The sequence below is a fragment of the Homo sapiens genome, chromosome 6 (genome assembly GCF_000001405.40).
Source record: "Homo sapiens chromosome 6, GRCh38.p14 Primary Assembly".
NCBI lineage: Eukaryota > Metazoa > Chordata > Mammalia > Primates > Hominidae > Homo > Homo sapiens.
In genome coordinates, this window is record NC_000006.12 from 163730177 (window position 1) to 163748614 (window position 18438).

Here is an 18438-nt window from a genome sequence, read left to right on the forward strand (position 1 = left end):
TTCAGAATGGTCCCCGGCGAGCAGCTGGCCCTCCCTGTTGCAGGGAGGCAGGGCCTGCGCCTGCTGGAAGTAAGTTGAAGAAGGCAAATGTGTTCATTCTGCTCTGGGGTCTTGTCTTGTCTGCTGCAGGGTGAGGTGAGGAAGGGGCTTCTCTTAGAGCCGCGGAAGGACCAGCCTTGCTTACCGTGGCTTCAGCCCTGTGGGAGCCTGGTGGGCTCTGACCCCAGAATCACCAGATCAAGAGCTCGAGGCCTCGGAAGCCCTGAGCCTAGCCACAGCAGCCACGAACCCAACATGGCTTTGCCCCTTACCACCCCTTACCACTCCCCCCCAGATAGCCTGGGGGTGTTTCTGAAGCTCTTGTGACTCTGCGTCCTCCACCAGAGCCAAGCCCCCTGGGATCTCTGTCCTGTCTGTGTTGTGGAATCTTCTAACGCAGTGCCTGGTCCACGGTGGTGCCTGGAGTGGAAGGGATTCCTGCTGCGGCTGTTTTTCCCTGTCACATTCCTCTGTCACCTGCTGAGCAGACTGCCGGCTGGGGCTTGTGCTCGGCATTGGGGGGTCAGAGGTGCTCGTGTCACTGACCCGGCAACAAGGGGCTTGTGCTCTGACGGGGAGAGAGATGCATGGATAGGCTTGAGCTGTGAGTTGCTCCTGGGTGCTGTGCAGGGAGCAGCCACTTCCTGGGCCACGAAGGGACAGATGCTCATGTGGCTGGGTTCTGGGCATGGGGACGTCTCCATAGAGTAGGCAGAGACTTGGCCGAGTCCTGTAGGTGACCTTGGAGTCCCTGGAGTGGAAACATCCCAGGCACAGCAGGAAGCAGGAGGGAGGCTGAGGACCCTGACAGAGCCGGCTGCTGGGGAAGGGCGAGGGCTGCCCTGGGCTGGAGGGGATGGTGAGGGCCAGGATGGAGGGTCTGAGGGAGGCCATTTCGTGAGGCCCAGAAGCCCTCTAAGGTTTGGGCTCTGTTTGGTAGGCCATGGAGACCTCTTACAGGTCATCTGGCAGGGGAAGGCACTGCTTGTATTTGCACTTTCCTCATTTACCCTGGAAGCATCTGGTATATGAACTCAAAAGGACACATGGCTGCAGGCCTCAGGCACGGCCACCGCAGAAATGCATGGAGCACGTGTTAGGTGCAGGCATCTAAGAGGCTGCAGCTGTCCTGTGAGATAAATAAACACCATTATCGTCATCCTCATCTAACAGACAAGGAAATTGAGGCACAGAGAATTCAGGCCTCTGTACAGGGTCACTCACCAGTAACTTACAGGTCAAGGGTTGGGCCCAGACAGTGCGACCCCAGAGGTCAGCTGCCATCCACCAGCCAGGCCCCCTCCTGAAGGATGCTGCAGGACAGTGAAGGCCTGAGTTCAGGCAGTCGCAGCAGATAGGGGGTGAGTCATTAACCAAGGCACTGGCGGGATCCGCTTATCAATGAGATGAGGGCATGGGAGACCCCTGACACTAGGCCTCAGCTCCTGGCCCTGAGCCAGGATGTATATCAGTTTCTAAGTATAACCAAATGGCATGCGCTCCAGAGCAAGGGCTTTCTTTCATATTCTTTATTTATGAATTTATTTATTGATACATGAGGATACATAAACAAATTAATTTCCTTCCTACCCCATAAAGTAGACAGTGGAGTGTCTGTCAAGCCTCTCTCAGACAACCCAGTCTTCAGGCTGTGTCCACCACTGGCCGTGGGCCCTCACATTGTGATTGCATAATGTTATTGTCAGGATTAAATTAAATATTCATGTGATAATCATGTTATCAGCACAAGGCCTGGCACACTGTAAGTGCTCAGTTTGCTAGTTGCCTTCTCTTTCTTTGCCTCTAAACAGTTGCTGAGTTAATTTGAGAAGCCTCTTTTATGTTAGTATAAAAACAAGTCTTAGCCGGGTGCGGTGGCTCATGCCTGTCAGCCCAGCACTTTGGGAGGCCGAGGTGGGCAGATCACCTGAAGTCAGGAGTTCGAGACCAGCCTGACCAACATGGTCAAACCCTATCTCTACTGAAAATACAAAAATTAGCTGGGCATGGTGGTGGGTGCCTGTATTCCGAGCTACTTGGGAGGCTGAGGCAGGAGAGTCGCTGAGGCAGGATAGTCGCTTGAATCCGGGAGTTGGAGGTAGCAGTGAGCCAAGATCACGCCACTGCACTCCAGTCTGGGTGACAGAGTGAGACTCTGTCACAAAAACAAACAAAAAACAAACAAACAACAAAAAAAGAAGTCTCTTCCCACTACCAGAGCTAGATGATATTTATGCTGTGTTTCCCTGTTTGCCTAGGCTGGTAGGATGCTCAGCATTAAAATCTGCAATCAGAAGCTGAAGTTGTCTTCACCACAATTCTTGTATGTCACCACAGTTCTTGTATGCTATTGTTTCCTACACTTTTTTCTTTGTTTCTCGTTTTGCCTTGCCCTAGTTACTTCAATGTAAGCATCTGAGTTTGTACTGCTGTCTCAAATCCATTTTTAGAAGTAGGAAGAAGATAAATATAATAAAGCTAAATATAGATTTAACAGATCAGTTTTCTGTCTCATCGTTGAGACAGATATAATGTCAGGACGAAGAAAACAGTGGAAATATTTGCTGATTTTTGTTCTCTTGTTTTGATCCCAGTGAAAAACTTTTATCTGGCACATGTTTAATTTTAAGCAAGAAGAGATTAAATCAATGAGGACAGTGACCCGAGCTTTTAGTTTATTGAGTGGATTGGAACTGTCCAGATTCTTTTCAATTAATTTATCTCTTTCTGTCAACTACTATTGACCTCATTTTGATGTTGGTTCTCCCTTCTGTAAAATGGAAGAATGGAACTGAACAATTCCTAAGTTCTCTTCAGTTTAAAATCTACAGACCAAGATTTTGAGTTCTTTTTATAGTTGGGTGATTTATTTCCATAAGCTGCAGGTTACATTCATTCTTCCTGTAATTCCTTCCCCCAGTTTGATCAGTGGAATTCTGCCGGCACCGTTCAGGACCCCTATGTACCTCCATGCTCTGAAGGTCTGCACTGGCTGTGCTCTAAGAGGAATATGACTATTCCTCATTTTAGACATGAGGAAGCTGAGGTTTAAATAACTTTCCAAGCCACTAACTTAGGAACTAAAGAAAGGAGCCCTTGAGCCTGATGCAGACCTTGGTTCTTTCTTGCCTTTGGTACTTTGCAAGACTCTAAGCAGGCCCAGGTTATGCAGGGGGTGCCTCTGGACCACCTCAGCATGACCTGCTTTATATATGGGGTGCCTTGGAAGATCTCCTGTGAAAAGAGAGTTTTGCTTTTAACAGTGTGAAGCCAATCGCACCACACGTTGGTGGTTCCTCTTGTCCGTTTCTGCTGGAATTGAGGTAGAATCCCCAACTCCTGTTCATTCCCTCATTCACCTCTTTTCTCCCCGCCACTTACCTGGCTGTTGCTCAGCACAGCCCCTCTGCTTCTGGAGTAGCCTCCCACTTGTCAGCCACTTACTGAACTCCTTTCCTCAGAATCCAGCATTTCCCGTCCCTCAAGCCCTGCAGAAGCTCTTCTTATCAGTTGAGATGGTTGACATGCAGTTACTTCAGAAAATTATAATCCCGATGCTTACATAATGTGTTTTAAACAACTTTTTATTTTGGGATACTGTGGTTTGTCATGCACGTGTAGGAAATAACACAGTTTCCCTCAATATTCTATAGTTATATAATCTTACAAAACCATATTCCAATCAAGAAATTGATATTGATACAGTGCATCCACCATATTCAGATTTCACCAGTTTTACATGTACACGGGGATGTGGCTGCGAGCGCACGCACGTGTGTGTGTGTGTGTATATATTCCATAAAAAGGTAGTGTATTAGTCCATTTTCATAGTGCTATAAAGAACTGCCTGAGACTGGGTACTTTATAAAGGAAAGGTTTAATGAACTCACAGTTCAGCATGGCTGGGGAGGCCTCAGGAAACTTACAGTCATGGCAGAAGGTGAAGCAGAAGCAAGGCACTTTCCTCACAAGGCGGCAGAAAGGAGAATTGTCGAGCGAAGAGGGAAGAGCCCCTTATAAAACCATCAGATCTCGTGAAAACTCACTCACTATCAGGAGAACAGCATGGGGGAAACTGTTCCCTCAGTTGGATTATGGGATTATTGAGATTACAATTCAAGATAAGATTTGGGTTGGGATACAGAGCCTAACCATTTCAGGAAGCATGAGGGATTCTTGTATGAACTCTTCTGTGTCTTGACTATGGTAGTGATCACGGAAATCTACCTACATATATGATAAAAATAAATGTAATATTTTTACACTTTTCATATTATGTCCTCCTCCTGATGTCTAGGGGTGCTGGTACATTGTAATTCCTTAGTAAATATTCCATAAAACACATGACAATAAATGTTATTCCTTGGAGAAAACAACAATGACTCATAAAACATGAGCCCCAACCTCGAAAGTTACATTTCTTTTGAGAGGCCTGTGGTAGAGGAGAAATAACCTTTGACTTGAAGCAGAAGACCTGAGTTCAAGGATTGATTTTGCTACTTTCCAGCAGAGAGGATTCACTTCCTATATTGAACCTTGATATCTTGATCTGCCAAATGAAGAAGCTGGATTAACAACCTTTTATCATCCCTTCCAACTTTAAAGACATTATAACTCTAGAAACTGTGACATCCTTTAACATTTTAAACCTGACTTCCCCTCCTTAAACATTTTCGTCTTGTTATTTGAGTTTATCAGCTCAGAGTTTGTTTAATTTTCATGCTTTGAACCATGGAAGAAAAAATAATCTTCTACTTGATTTCTTACCAACTCCAAGACCACATGAAAGATCTCATTTGCATGAAAATGCAAGAGCAGAGTTTCAGACGGAGGGACATGGAAACATTTGTAAACTTTTACTTGGAAACTTTTGGTATCTGTGTGGAGTGTGGTCCAGCCTGGGCAGTGGGACACAATTCTGAGATACCCAGTTGCTGAGCTGGGTCACTGGACATCTCTTTCCCTTTGCAGTATTTGTCAGCACAGGTCCTCTATCAGATGGCCAGGAGAGGTCCTGCTGCCATAAGAACCCCCCCGAGGTCCCTGTGCCTACTCAGTGGAGGTCCAGTCCTCTCTCTTGCACAGTTCTTTGTGAGGTTGCGCACCTTTCCAGGGTGAGGTTGCTGCCCTCGGTCCCCAGCTGCGAGGCTTGTGAGGGCCATGTGTGCTTTCGTGTTCTCTGTGGCAGAAGAACAGGTTGCTGGTGAGCTTGGGGTTGACAGTTCCATGCTCTGGCTTCAGTGGTCACAGTCACTTTTGCTTATGCTTTACTGGCCAAACCAGGTCACATGGCCATGCCTACTTTGAAGAGAAAGGGGACAAATATGGGTAAAATACTTCAAGATTCTATTACAGATTTTTTTTTTTTTTTGGTCAGAAGAACAAAAGTCCCTGGCAACATGGATTAATTATAACTTGGCTTATGTGTTCCACTGGAAGCGTCTCAAGGGTGGGAGATGATCCATCACTCAGAAGTTGTCTCTGACTAGCAAACAGGAAACAGAAAGGAACCGAAGGGAAAGAGCAGGAAGCTAAGCATCCTGGGTGAGCAGTGCCTTCAGCTGTCCAGGGTGTGGGATGCAAGTGGAGACAGCGGGCTCCTCTCCCTGTCTGGCCTCCTTTTCTGGCCAGCTGCGTGACTGCAAGCAGCCCCCTCCCTCCTCAATCTCAGTTTCCACACCTGTAAAATAGTGGTAACATTACCTATTGCAAAGGGTTGCCTGAATTAATACAGGTAAAGAGCATGGAGTGGTGCCTGATGTGTGCGAAATGCTCAGTAAATGTTACCTATCATTTTGCTTTGCCCTTTACCTGTTAAGTTGGCTGTAAATCCCTACAACCACAAGATGCCCTCGGACATTCAGCCCGTGTGGCTGAAAGCGTGAGTCTCTGGGGGCAGCACTCAGGGAGGGGTGTGATGACTTAGAAGCTGGAGAAGTCGGTCCTGCCTTCCCTCTAGGCTCCTGGGTGACACTGAGTCCTAATGGAATGGCAGAGACTTTGAGAGGGCCTGTGCACGCTTTCTACAAAGCTATTGGAGGAAATCCTTCCTTCTAGGCTTTGGCCTGGGAGGTCCCTCTCAGAGACTTGGGGCCTCAGAACTTTGAAAGAATGGAACCAAAGCAGAGGTCTCTCCTGGGAGCCCTGGGAAATGGGGCTGTGTAGTCTAGGGAGGAATCTTGCTGTCTCTTCGTTTAGGCAGGAAAATTAATGGAATTTAATAAGTCACCTTGCAGTGACCTGAGAATCCCGGATTCTCAGACGAGCCCTGCAAATATGCAGGTTGCATTGAGACATTCAAATTCTCTAAACAGGGCTTCTTGTAACTTGTGCGTTCATATGTTGCTGCTGCAAAACTATGAATTTTCTGATTTTGTCACACCCTGATTAAAAAACACAGTTGTATGCACTCTCGCTGGCTGAATCGCAGAAGCAATTTCTTATACAATTGAAATCCATATTTCAATGAGTTTCTTCAGGCATGCTCTCTCTGGGAGCTGCCTGTGAGTCTGCCGTGGATGTGTGACTGGGGAACCTGGCATTTTAGACCTCGAGCAGTGGGAGACACTGCCCATCTCTCCATCATTTTTGACTGAATGATGGCAAAAGTCATCAAGAGTGGATGGAATGATGGCCTCATCTGCGTGAATATATGCACATTTAAAATGCTAAGGTCAGACAAGACTGACTGGAAGGATGGCATGGAGGTGTGGGGCTGACATTTACAACACCCAGAGGGCTGTGGGCCAGGCTCGGGGAAGACATTTGAGGGCATTTGGAGCTCACAAATCAGGGCAGTTTGCTCCAGAGCTGGGGAGAGTCAAGGGTATCTGGAAAGCGGTGCCTTCATCTCCGCAAAAAGAGTCTGCTGGGAAGGGTCAAGGGCAGACCCCCAGACAGTGCCCAAGGACTACTTTAGGGAGATAAGGATGAGTGAAAGCCCTGCTGAAGGCAACGGTTAGAAAAGTGAGGTTTCCACACCAGCATCTATCACACCGGGATGAGGCCTCGCCAACAGAAACAGCCTCGCTTCATTGGGAATTGGTACAAAGAGTGGGAGGGGCTTTATGTGGACCAGGTAAGGGCAGAAGTGGAAAATGGTCTAGAACGTCCCAGAGTGCATCTCAGGGCGCTGGCTGTGCTGGTTCTCAGGATGCTGATACCCACCCCCTCTTGCTGCTGTTTTTCAGGAAGACCCTTCTGGAGCACGGCCAGAGCTCCGAGGCCTTTGTCTTGGAAGGAGAGGCTCCTACCAGCCTTGCAGTTCACCAGTGGTGATCTTAGTGGGGACCTACCATCCATGCATGAGTTTTAATTTGTATTCTATGATTCAGAAACATGAATTAGGGAGCTTGTCTCTCTTCCTCCCTTAGGCACTCCAGTTCCCTCATTGCCCTGTCCATTTTTCCTTGAAAACAAATCGGTGTGGTCAGTAAGTCCAATATCAGTGGCAGCAGGCAAGGGCAGTAAGGCTTCCTTGTAGTCTGTAGCTTTCCAGACCTCTGAAGGATTCTGTTTAAACCTCTTCTAGGAATCATAAAATCTTCTGCAATCTGGACTCATCAGTTATAGAACCCTGTGAGTACCTTTCAGCGAGAGGACTCCTCTTGGTTTGAGGCTAGGTGTGGAGGTAACTGTGGGCAGCAGGTGGGGGGATTATTTGTGTATCTTGGGGTACAGCAATTTATACATACTTCTTTCCCCCAACCACACAGCAAACTCTTTGATGGCAAGAATTGTCTTCCTTTCGATCCCCATTTCTTAGTCTCATATCTAATACTTAACTGATGCTCAGTAATTATTTATTTAGTTAATTGTGAGCTGCAAGCAATAAACCTTATGAAAACAAGGCACATGCCTTTATCTGTGAGAGCTTCATTAATTCACTACTCAGTTTATATCTTGAATATAAATTTATGCAATTTATATCAGAAATAAGGCTCAGAAATAACACTGTCTTGGGCACTACCGTCTTTAGAGTTTTTCTGTTTTTGCTGCTCCCTCCTCATGACCTTAGACTTGGACAGGAGTTCTTGCTGTTGGGGTCCAGATCTCCCAGATGAGGCTTCAAAGTGCCCCTTCCCTCCATCAAAGGGCCTGCTACCAGGTCCCTTCCAGGGGTTTCCTTGCTCCCTCTGGCAAAATAACTCCTCACAGCAGGCCAGGTTCTCCAGCACCCAGATGTCCCTGGCCCATCACAGTTCTAGTGTGAGGTTGCTATTCTCGGGATTTTAAATAGATGGTAACACTTAGGATCTTCTATCCTTGCATGGTGCTTGTGGTATGTGGTGACGATGGGGGCAGGGCCACAGCTCGGGAAGGGACTCAGTAGGGTGTCATGCATACAGATCAGTGTTAACTTCAGCTCTATTAAACATCTTTATTAATGATCTGGAAATGGGGTGTAAACAGAACATTAATTAAATGGCTGAATACTAAATTGGGAGGTGTTGCAAAAGATGGACTAATCATTTTATCATTTACTCAGCGTGCAGAACTTGTATAATTTGGTGTATTTACTGGTCAAAAGTGGGGCATATCTTTGTTGACAACACTATTGGCTCAGTGTGTAGCTGGCATTTTGGTTGAGTTTCTTTATGTGCATATTCTTACTCTTGTGCCTTTCTATTTAAGTTAGTTTCAGAATGATGAGTCATCCTATTTGTATATTAAGGACTCAAGTAGAATGAAAATATTTTTGGAAGAATGAGGTGGAATAAACAGAAGCAGGAACAGAGAGTAACATGCAGTAGTTGAGGTCAGCTAAGTCAATTGCTTGGAGACCCAAGTCTTCTATCCTGACTCCTGTGGGGTCTGTTCTGTTTTCTCAGACTGCTTCTGTTCTTCTAGCAAGTGAAGTGCCTCACAGATTTACCTCTTTGGAAGGGCTTGCTGAGAGCAGTATTAAACTCAACACACACTTGATTCCATGGTGTAGATTTGGGATTAGGAGACCTGGACTTTAATTTGTGTTCTTGCATTTTTCTGGTTATGTAGCTTTGAGGAAGTCATTTAACCTCTCTGAGCCTTTGTTTCTTTATCCCTGGAAGGGAAGATGATATATGTCTCCCAGGGTAATGCCACGAGTTTGAAGCGAAGTGATATTCTTGAAAGAATTTTGCGAACTGTAAAACTGTGCAAAAGTTAGTATGACATTGGATTAATTCTCAAACAATGAGGAGTATTATTGCTGTGCATATAAAGCACTCCAAATAATTACCAGCAGAATGGCCAAGAACATTTAGAAATATGGATAGGAAATTCAGTTTGGAAAAATGCTAGTCAATACTTAGGGACATGAGAAAATTGGCAGGGTTTTGAGTTGGCAAAAGTAATGAACTATTTTTCTAATGCTTGGGTTCAACAAACTAAAATGAGTTTGCCAAGCACCTTTTCTTATAAATTTTGCAGCCTTTGTTTGTTTCAGCTAGCACATGATCCATAAGCTTCTGATTCACTGACACTTAATTTGCTAAAAGGCTATTTGTTAGCAGCAATCAGATGTTTTGGAAACCTGCTGGGCCCACTGCAAAGACGCTGCCCAGATTCCGTTCTTCAGAATCTTTACTAGCTGGGTGCATAAGAGACATCTGAGTGTATTTAAGAATCATTTTGTCAAACTCCTATCCTTTTAAACTTCTTGTTATGCTTCTTATATGCTGTACATACTGTCATTCCTGCTATTCAGCAGGAATATTTTAAATATATTTGTGATTGATTCCTGCAACTTATCCTTCTTTCTCTTAGTAGTTCTGACTTACAAGGTTTAAACGAAAAGATATGCACTAGATACAGATTAGATTAGAAACTTTACTAATAGGAAGGTGGGTAGGAGAATGCAGCTCAGACCTGGGGCCTGTGGAGAGCTTGCTGCTCCTTGACTCTCCGTGGGTGGGTGCCAGCCTTGCTTGTCTGGTGCACACTGTGAAATGCAGGGCTGGCAAGAGCTCGGGCCCAGCCAGGCCTGCAGACCCTGTTCATGTGGGCCCAGCTGAGGAGGCTGCATTCTGTTTTGGCTTTAACTGGTCATTTTTGTTAATCATCTCTCCTCTCTTCTTCCTGAGGGGACGAGAGAATTCTAGGGGAGAAAGGAGCCAGAAGGTTTGATCTCAGTACTGCTCCCCTCTGGGAAGTCAAGAGAAGTCCATTCTCTCTCATGGAGAGAGGAGTGCGTGCCAGCATCCCACCGGGTTCTTTAGGGCAGGCCATGTGGGTGCTGCCAGCTGCCTTGGAGTCCACGCCTGCCTCTTCTGGCTTTGCGCTGGTCACTCTTCCCATCTCACCACTTGGGGCTGGCTCAGACTGAGGAGCTTCTCTTCCAAGCTGGAGAATGTGAGGATCAGAGACAGAAGGTTCATGACTGTAGACTCTACCCTCTGATCCACTTCAGGGGAAGCTGGTGGGGACTTGCATCTGAGTGCTTGAGGAAGAGATGGGAAGGGCGGGCAGGGAAGAGGCTGGGAGGAGGAGGAATTCATTTGTGTTCAGCATCTTCCACGCCAGGTACTGGGCTAAACTCGCATTGGCACGTTTAAAAGGAGGGTTGCAGGAGATTTGCAGCTCCCAGGTGCGGCCGGAGAGAGCTCTCTGTCTTCACTTTCCACAGCCTAGGTTTCAACTCAACGCAGAGGGGAATGGGACTCATTTTCCCTTTTTTAATATAGCATTCTATCTCCATGATTAAAGGGATACAAAACACACTGTGGGAATTTTAGGAAATGCTGAAACATGAAATAGAGGAAAAAATAAAGATCAGTCTGCAATTCACCTCTCCAGAGATGCCATTAACATTTAATTTCTTTATTTCCTTCCAGTCTGTTTTCTAGTTGTGTTTTTATCATAGAAGGAGTAGTGTACATTTACATAAACCTAAGGCCACACTGCGTAAACAGTTTTCTATTTTGCAGTTAACTTTTTATATCATAAGCCCTTTTCCATGCCTTTAAATATTTCTCAACGACCCATTTTTTAATGGCAGGCTAGTATTTCTTTCTTGTTTCCAAATTTGCAGCATGGTAATTATGACTTAATTACTCTCCCTGTATGTGCTGACTGTGAGTCTCTGACTTTTCTTTAGGATAAATTCCTAGAGATGAAATTACGGGGTCAAGTGGTAGAACACTTTTAAGCTTTTTTCCCACCAAGTATATATTGCTATTCTACATCAAAAAAACTTGAGATATTTTCACCATTTTATGTGAGAATGTCCATTTCTCTGCACTTTGATAGCACAGTATATCACTGTTGTAGATGATGATGATTTTTAGAGACAGGGTCTCACTGTGTAGCTCAGGCTGGACTTTATCTCCTGGGCCCAGGCGATCCTCCCACATCAGCTCCCAAGTAGCTGGGAGTACAGGCGTGTGCCACTTGTATTATTATTTTTAAGTCCTCTCCCTTACTTTTGATGCAATTTAAATTCTGTTGTTAAGGATGCTGAGTTTGTGAGACCAGACGGATGCTCCTGAAGACACAGCCAGCTGCGGGGGCCCGAGTACCCACCAAGCTCCCTCTGGAGCTTGTCACTCTTCCTCTGGGTACTCCTTCGAGGTGCCCATCCCCTCCTGGGAGCATGACCAGGTCTCTTTCTGCCCTCAGCCATGGTGTGGGCTCCAGCCCACACCCCTGCCTTCCCGCAGCTGCTCACCACACATTCTGCCCCTGAGTCCCTGCTGAAAGGCCCCAGGGACATCTCCAGTGGCCGAGCCTACTCCTAGCTCAGAATTTGTTTGCTTATCAGATCCTTTGCAGTGCCGGGCTTCCCTTCTGCATGAGCGTGCTGGTTTGGGAGACTTTATTCAAATTGGAGTTCGGAGGCATAGGAGAGTGCGGCTGAGCTGTGGCTGCTCCTACAGATGCCCCGTCAGCATCCTTCTGAGGCACCCTCACCCTAGCCTGCAAATCAGGGCCATAGGCAAGTTGGAGAGGCCCAGCCACTCCGCGCCCGAGTCCTGGCAGCATGCCAGCAGCGATGGCACCTGGGAGCAGAGGACCCGCAGGGCCTGCACTCACGTTCACTTTGCACGTCCTCCCGCAGGAAGGTCTGCTAGGAGGAGAGCTTTTCCTTTTTCATTGTAAATGAGAAATTCTTTCCAAAATAAGAGCAGCACCAACTTCAGGAAGCCAGACCAACTCAACGGAATAATACAAATATACATCTACACATTAGGTGGAAAATGATGCAGAATACGGTGACACACACTGACACAGTCCATGGGACCCAGCAAAGCCTGTGATGGAAAACTCTCCTCTTCTTCCACCGGTGTCCAAAGGCCTCCTTTGAAAGCTCTGCATCCTCCTCCCCCTGGCACGGCTGTGTTTCCCCTTGACCTGCATGCCTCCCACCACCCTGCACACTGGGTGGGGTGGGCCCTCCGCCCCCTCACTCCATCTGAGGGGTCCTGTTCCCCATGTTCTGACCTTGTAGCAGTCCTCCTTCTCTATGCATCTGGGCCAGTGCTGCCTCCCCCGCAGACTCCAAATTCACCCACATCCCACCCTTCCTCTCATCCCCTTCTCTTGTCTCCATTGCTGGGGATTGGGTGGTGAGAGGAAAGATGTATTGATTTTTCTCTCTTGTTTCTGAGTATCTCTGCGCAGAACACATTTGACACCTTTTCCCAACCTCTGCTTCCTAAGGGGTTGGAGGATGGAGGAGAGAACCAGGCTGTTTTATCTTTGTGACTGCAAATGAATTATGCATTTGGCAACCTTTCTCTTTTAACCGTCCCATTCCAATTGCCCCATGGGGGTAAAATTTCTAGGATTCTAAACCAGAAAAATAGCTTAGGAGGATACTATCACTGAGAAATATGTAACCTCCATATAAATGAAAATTATTATCTTGGTATCCTGAGCTCAAGGGGTGAGTGAAGGCATTTGGTCTGTCTTCACCTGTGTCCTGGCACTAACCCTGCTGGATTCAGATCACAAGATGTTGGGCTGGACTGCGGGGTCACTTGCAGCCACTCGTTGGATTTTTCTTTAGTTCATCTCAGGAGCCCCTTGGGCATGTTGTCTCTAGTATCTCTTGATTGCCTGGAGTTTTCATAATTGGCTCAGAGCTCGTCATTCGGCAGATGGTACTTAAGACTGGAAGAGTAGCCCTCTGTGAGCTTAAGAGACTCTGACGAGTAGTATGAAGGGGATGTCCCCAGTAAAACCAGTTAAATAGGACTTGGGGGGAAAGCTTCGTCTTCATCATGTTGCATACCCCTCGAAATTTATTTTATTTTTTATTGTGGTAAAATATCCATAGCATAAAACTTAATGATGTTGGCTGTTTGTAGGTGTACAGTTTGGTGGCATTAAGTACATTCAAATCCTTGGGCAATTGTCCCTACCCCCATCTCCAGAACATACTCATCTTCCCAAACTGACATCTGTCCCCATTAAACACTGACTCCGTGTCCACAATGCCGCAGTCTCAGGTTAACCGCCCTTCTCCTTTCAGGCAGTGCTTTCTTCAATGTTCGTATAAATGCTTGAAGTTGAATCCTGTCTCACATAATATGGCCCTAGTAGCAGTGTGCCCATCTGAATCTGGCTACGTCATCCTCAGGAAGCGGGCAGTTGTGTTTAGTGGCTAGTGGCATCCACCTAGGGACGTCTGTCCCAGGCCTGCTCAGTCTTGCCTGTCCTCAGGGGACTTGGGTCCCCAAACCCTGCACTGAGGTGAGCCTGGGCACCTGGGTTCTAGGCATCATGACCCTGCCCTCCTCGACCCTGAGCTGACTGAGGGTTGGGGAGCCCCTGACCCAAAGCCAGGCCAGCCATGGCCCAGCCAGCTCTGATCCTCCTCTGTGGGGCCAGGACACCTCTGTAAGGGGCCATCAGCTACTTCTTTCAAGAAGCTGGAAACTGAGACCCAGTTGCTGAGGCTCTGAGGCAAACATCCTGGAAGGAAGGTGTCTTCGGCGTGGGGCTTCCATAGCAAATACCACAGACTGGGCACCTTAAACAACAGGAAATTATTTTCCCACAGTTCTGGAGGCTGGAAGTCCCAGATCAAGGAGTTGTCAGGGTGGGTTTCTCCTGAGGCCTCCCTCCTTGCCTCTCCCCTGCATCTCTTCACATCGTTTTCCCTCCGTGCGTGCCCATCTCTGTGTCCACATGTCCCCTTTTGTAAGGACACTACTGAGGTTGGATTAGGGCCCGCCACCCTAGTGGCCTCATCCTCCCTCGGTGACATCAGTAAATCTGCCTGTCCCCACATGCAGCCCCATTCTGAGGGCCTTACTGGGCTGGAACTTAAGCACGTGGGTTTTGGGAGGTCCGGCTTAGGGCACCATCCTGGGTGCTGCAGGTCCTGAGGATGCCCGGTGTGTAAGGAAGGAACATGGAGCCCAGCAGGCGGAGTGCAGAGGGGGCAGCTTGCACCGTGTGGGGCCCCAGGGAGGCGGGCGGGCAGGCACACTCCCAACTTTTCAGGGGTGGTTCCAGATGGTTTCCATTTCCTTGAAGAAACCCAAGAAGACCTCCTTTCCTTGCACTGAAGGGGTCCTGCCAGGTGAGCTGCATGGCCCCACTCTGCCAGGGGCGCAGCTGGGATGGGTGTGGAGAGTAGCCACGTCGGGCATGCAGACATGTGTCTCAGCAGCCGTCCTCCTGCACAGCGGGGCGTATGACAGGCGGGCAGAGAGTCAGTCAGCAAAGCCACCAAGTCTCCCCAGACTTACAACTTCCAGTTCTAATTTGTATTTGTTGTGCTTTGGGATGGTGGTGATTAGTGTCATTTGCTGAAGCCTCCAAAAAATAATTCCCCCCACTTTTTTTTTTTTTTTTTTTTAGTGAAATGTAGTTTTTCAGGCAAACTGTGGTACCCACCCCCATGTTTGTTAGAAAGTTGGACAAAATGTCATCCAGCCGGCAGCTTGGAAAGGAGCTCTGAGCAGTTGGTGGAGGCTCGGTGGGTATTTCCCAGCCATCTAGAACAGAGACTCTATCCTTGCGTGTGCTAGGAACAGCTCAGCCCCATCCCTGTGGCTTCATGGTGGGGTCTCCTGGTTAGAGTCCCAGCTCAGATGCCTCTCTCCACCTTCCCCGACCCGAGGGCGTCAGGGCCTCCACTGTGCCTCCTTCCTGGCTGCCTTATGCTGTGAGCCTTGTCTTGTCGTCGTTTGAACTTCCCCTGGAAACTCTCTATTAGATTTAGAGAACAAAAACAGCCAGTGAAAAATCATAGTTGAAATTTTACAAAGGAATTACATTTTGTATTGCTTTAAAGAATGCATAGTATTCTGATACTAGAGTAACAAAACAGTAAGAGACAGATGTCTTTAGGCAACTATTTAATGAATAAATGAGAGTGATTGAATGGGAGCGTTTAAATTGGGCATTTTCTGTGCAATATTAATTATACTGCATGCTTAGTAAATTCCTTTTTCAAAGATAGTTCAAAGGCAGATGTCAATCTGGTTCTGCCCAGGTTATGTGTCTGCATACATAAACAACTTCCAAATGAATAGAGCATGCGTTAATAAGGTTTTACTAATCTTGGCCACAGGCAGTATTTAAGTCAGCTGTGTTTGACCTCTACCACACTGGACATAAGAAGATTCATTTAAAAGTGGTGTGGCTAAAACTGATCTTTTGAATGGGCTACATTGTACAGGCATTTCAGCTACACTTAATTTTAAAGTGAGGCTTCTCCAGTGGGACCCTAGGATCTGGAGCTTAAACTCTGGAGCATGTTTCCTTTTGTTGGCTGCAAAATAAATGGCTTCTGGATAGAGCAGGCTTGCAGGGAGCCTGGGCCTCCTGGGAGTGCAGGACTGCTTTGGTGATGGGCATGACCCAGGCTTTGAGAAGCCTCTGAGAGTGACTTGTGATGACCTACGTGGGTGATCTATGTGCAGAGCTATGCAGGAGCTGTCAGCAGCCACAGGGGCATGTGCTAGATCTGCCGTGTCTGTCTCTTGTTTTCATGCTGGTATGCTCTCATCAGGCAGGAATGTTGTCTTTTCTGATTAAATTGTGTATGGGCCAGAAGGTGACGATAGGAGAGAAGCTATATACAAGCAACGCTGTCACTCGGCGGGCTCAGGGCTTTTGGCCTGAGAAGACTAAATGACGTAATGGAAAGACCTGGGCTAGAACCTTAGCTCTGTCCTCCAGTAAACGGATGACTTTGGGCCATTTGGTTTCACCTCTTTGCACCTTGGTTTTGTCATTTATAAAACATGGAACAAATAGCTAATAAGGTCAGAATGAAGATTTCTTTTCTTGTTTTTTTTTTTTTTTTTTTGAGACAGCGTCCTGTTCTGTCACCCAGGCTAGAGTGCAGTGGTGCAATCATAGCTCACTGCAGCCTCGAACTCCTGGGCTCCAGGGATCCTCTCATCTCAGCCTTCTGAGTAGCTGGGACTACAGGCACACATCACCATGCCTGGCTGATCGTTTTTATTTCCTTGTAGAGATGGGGTTTTGCTATGTTGCTCAGGCTGGTTTTGAACTCCTGGCCTCAGGGGATCCTCCTGTCTCAGTGTCCCAAAGTGCTGAGATTACAGGTGTGAGCCACCGCTCCTGGCATGATTCCATTATTTAATGTGTATAAATCCCTATTCCAGTGCCTGACACATGGTTGGTGTTCAGTACATAACTATCATCATCATGGTCTGTTTAATTTGGATCTATCTCTATTTTTTGTCTTTTTCTATTTCCCATTTTCCAGTATTCTGAGGGATGGTCATCCTCCTTGCAGAGACAGTTTGCCTGACAGGGTTGGAAGCCCCCACACTGGGAGTGAGTTAGGAACTGCGTTCTTGCCCCTGTGCTGGCTGCAGAGTTCTGGATAGGATATTTGAAAATCCCTGAAAGTGGGGTGCTGTATTAGTCTGTTCTCACACTGCTATTAAAGACATACCCAAGACTGGGTAATTTATAAAGGAAAGAGGTTTAATTGACTCACAGTTCCACATGGCTGGGGAGGCCTCACAATCATGGTGGAAGGTAAATGAGCAGCAAAGTCACGTCTTACATGGCAGCAGGCCAGAGAGTTTGGGTAGGGACTCCCCTTTATAAAACCACCAGATCTCGTGAGACTTAGTCACTATCACGAGAACAGCATGGGAAAGGTCTGCCCTCACTGGCTCTCCCCTGTGACACGTGGGAGTTATGGAAGCTACAATTCAAGATGAGATTTGGGTGGGGACACAGCCAAACCATATCAGGTGCAGACAAGGTCCCCTCTACGGTGTCATCCTGTTCTAAATGTTGACATGAGCCCTGCAGAGTATTCATATTACATTTTGAAAATTGTTTCCCTCATGACTGAGCATTTACTTACTGTTGGATAATAAATCAGATGCTATCCATCTTGGCCAGGAGTGTTAAGAACAGTCTAGAAAGTTCTGCCTGGGAACCCCCCGAGTCCTGTGCTTCAGTTTTGCCTCAGGACTTGGTGTCTGGACACTTGTGCCCTTTCTCAGGTGAGCCCCACCCAGATCGAGGGCATCAGGTCCAGGAACAGGAGGGGCTTCCCCAGCTTATGGGAGGGAAAACTCAACACTGCTGTCTTCATAGAGATGGTTTTGCAATTGGGAATATTCTCTTTAAAAACTCAGAAAATTTCTAGGTAAAACAAGTAAGTTGTGTGATTTTTCCAGCAAGCGTAGAAAAAAGCCAAAACAAAACAGTGCATGCTCTTATCCCTCCATCTTAATACCTCTGAAGAAACAAAGCATGAAGGTTTCATATTCAGAGTTCAAGGAAGAAAAGTTGCTCTGTGATGGTTATTATTTTAAAGGTTTGAAGAGCTATGTATCCCATTTGTATGTGTGGTGAGCTTTGAAGCTAAAATGCAGAGGGATAGAGATGTTGTCCACGAGGGAGTGCCTTAGGGTTGCTCCCAGAGACCAAGGCTTGGCTGGCAGCATGCGGGTCTGACTCGGTGACCCTGACCACCTTAGGTGTGTTCACCTGGGAGAGGAAACCAGGGAGGAACACGGGGGACGTGGGGTCCAATCTTCATGTTCCTGAACAGAACCTGTACTTTTCTGGACCATAAACTCCTGCTCAGCTTTGTCCCCTGGGTTTCTTCAAAGTGGTCACCGTTCACTGGGATGCTCTTCCTGTGCCTTAGCTTGGAGCGGGTCGGGGGCTGCAAACCTCTGGTTCTCATGGGTCCATTCTGTCTGGGGAGCATCAATCAGGATTATGGTCCCATTGCCACCAACAAGCAGAAAGGAGCCACGATGACCACACTGCATGGCTTGTTTGGTCCTGGCTGTGGAGACGCGTGCACCCTTTTCACCTCTCTCCATTAGAGAACAAAATTAAGTAAGCAGAGGTCTGGACTTAAGTCTTCATTTGCTCTTCGAGCTGTGCCACCGTGGGCTGGCTTCTGGGCTCCTCTGGTTTTCAGTTTGCTCACCTGTGAAAGGAGAATAAGAGCACCGC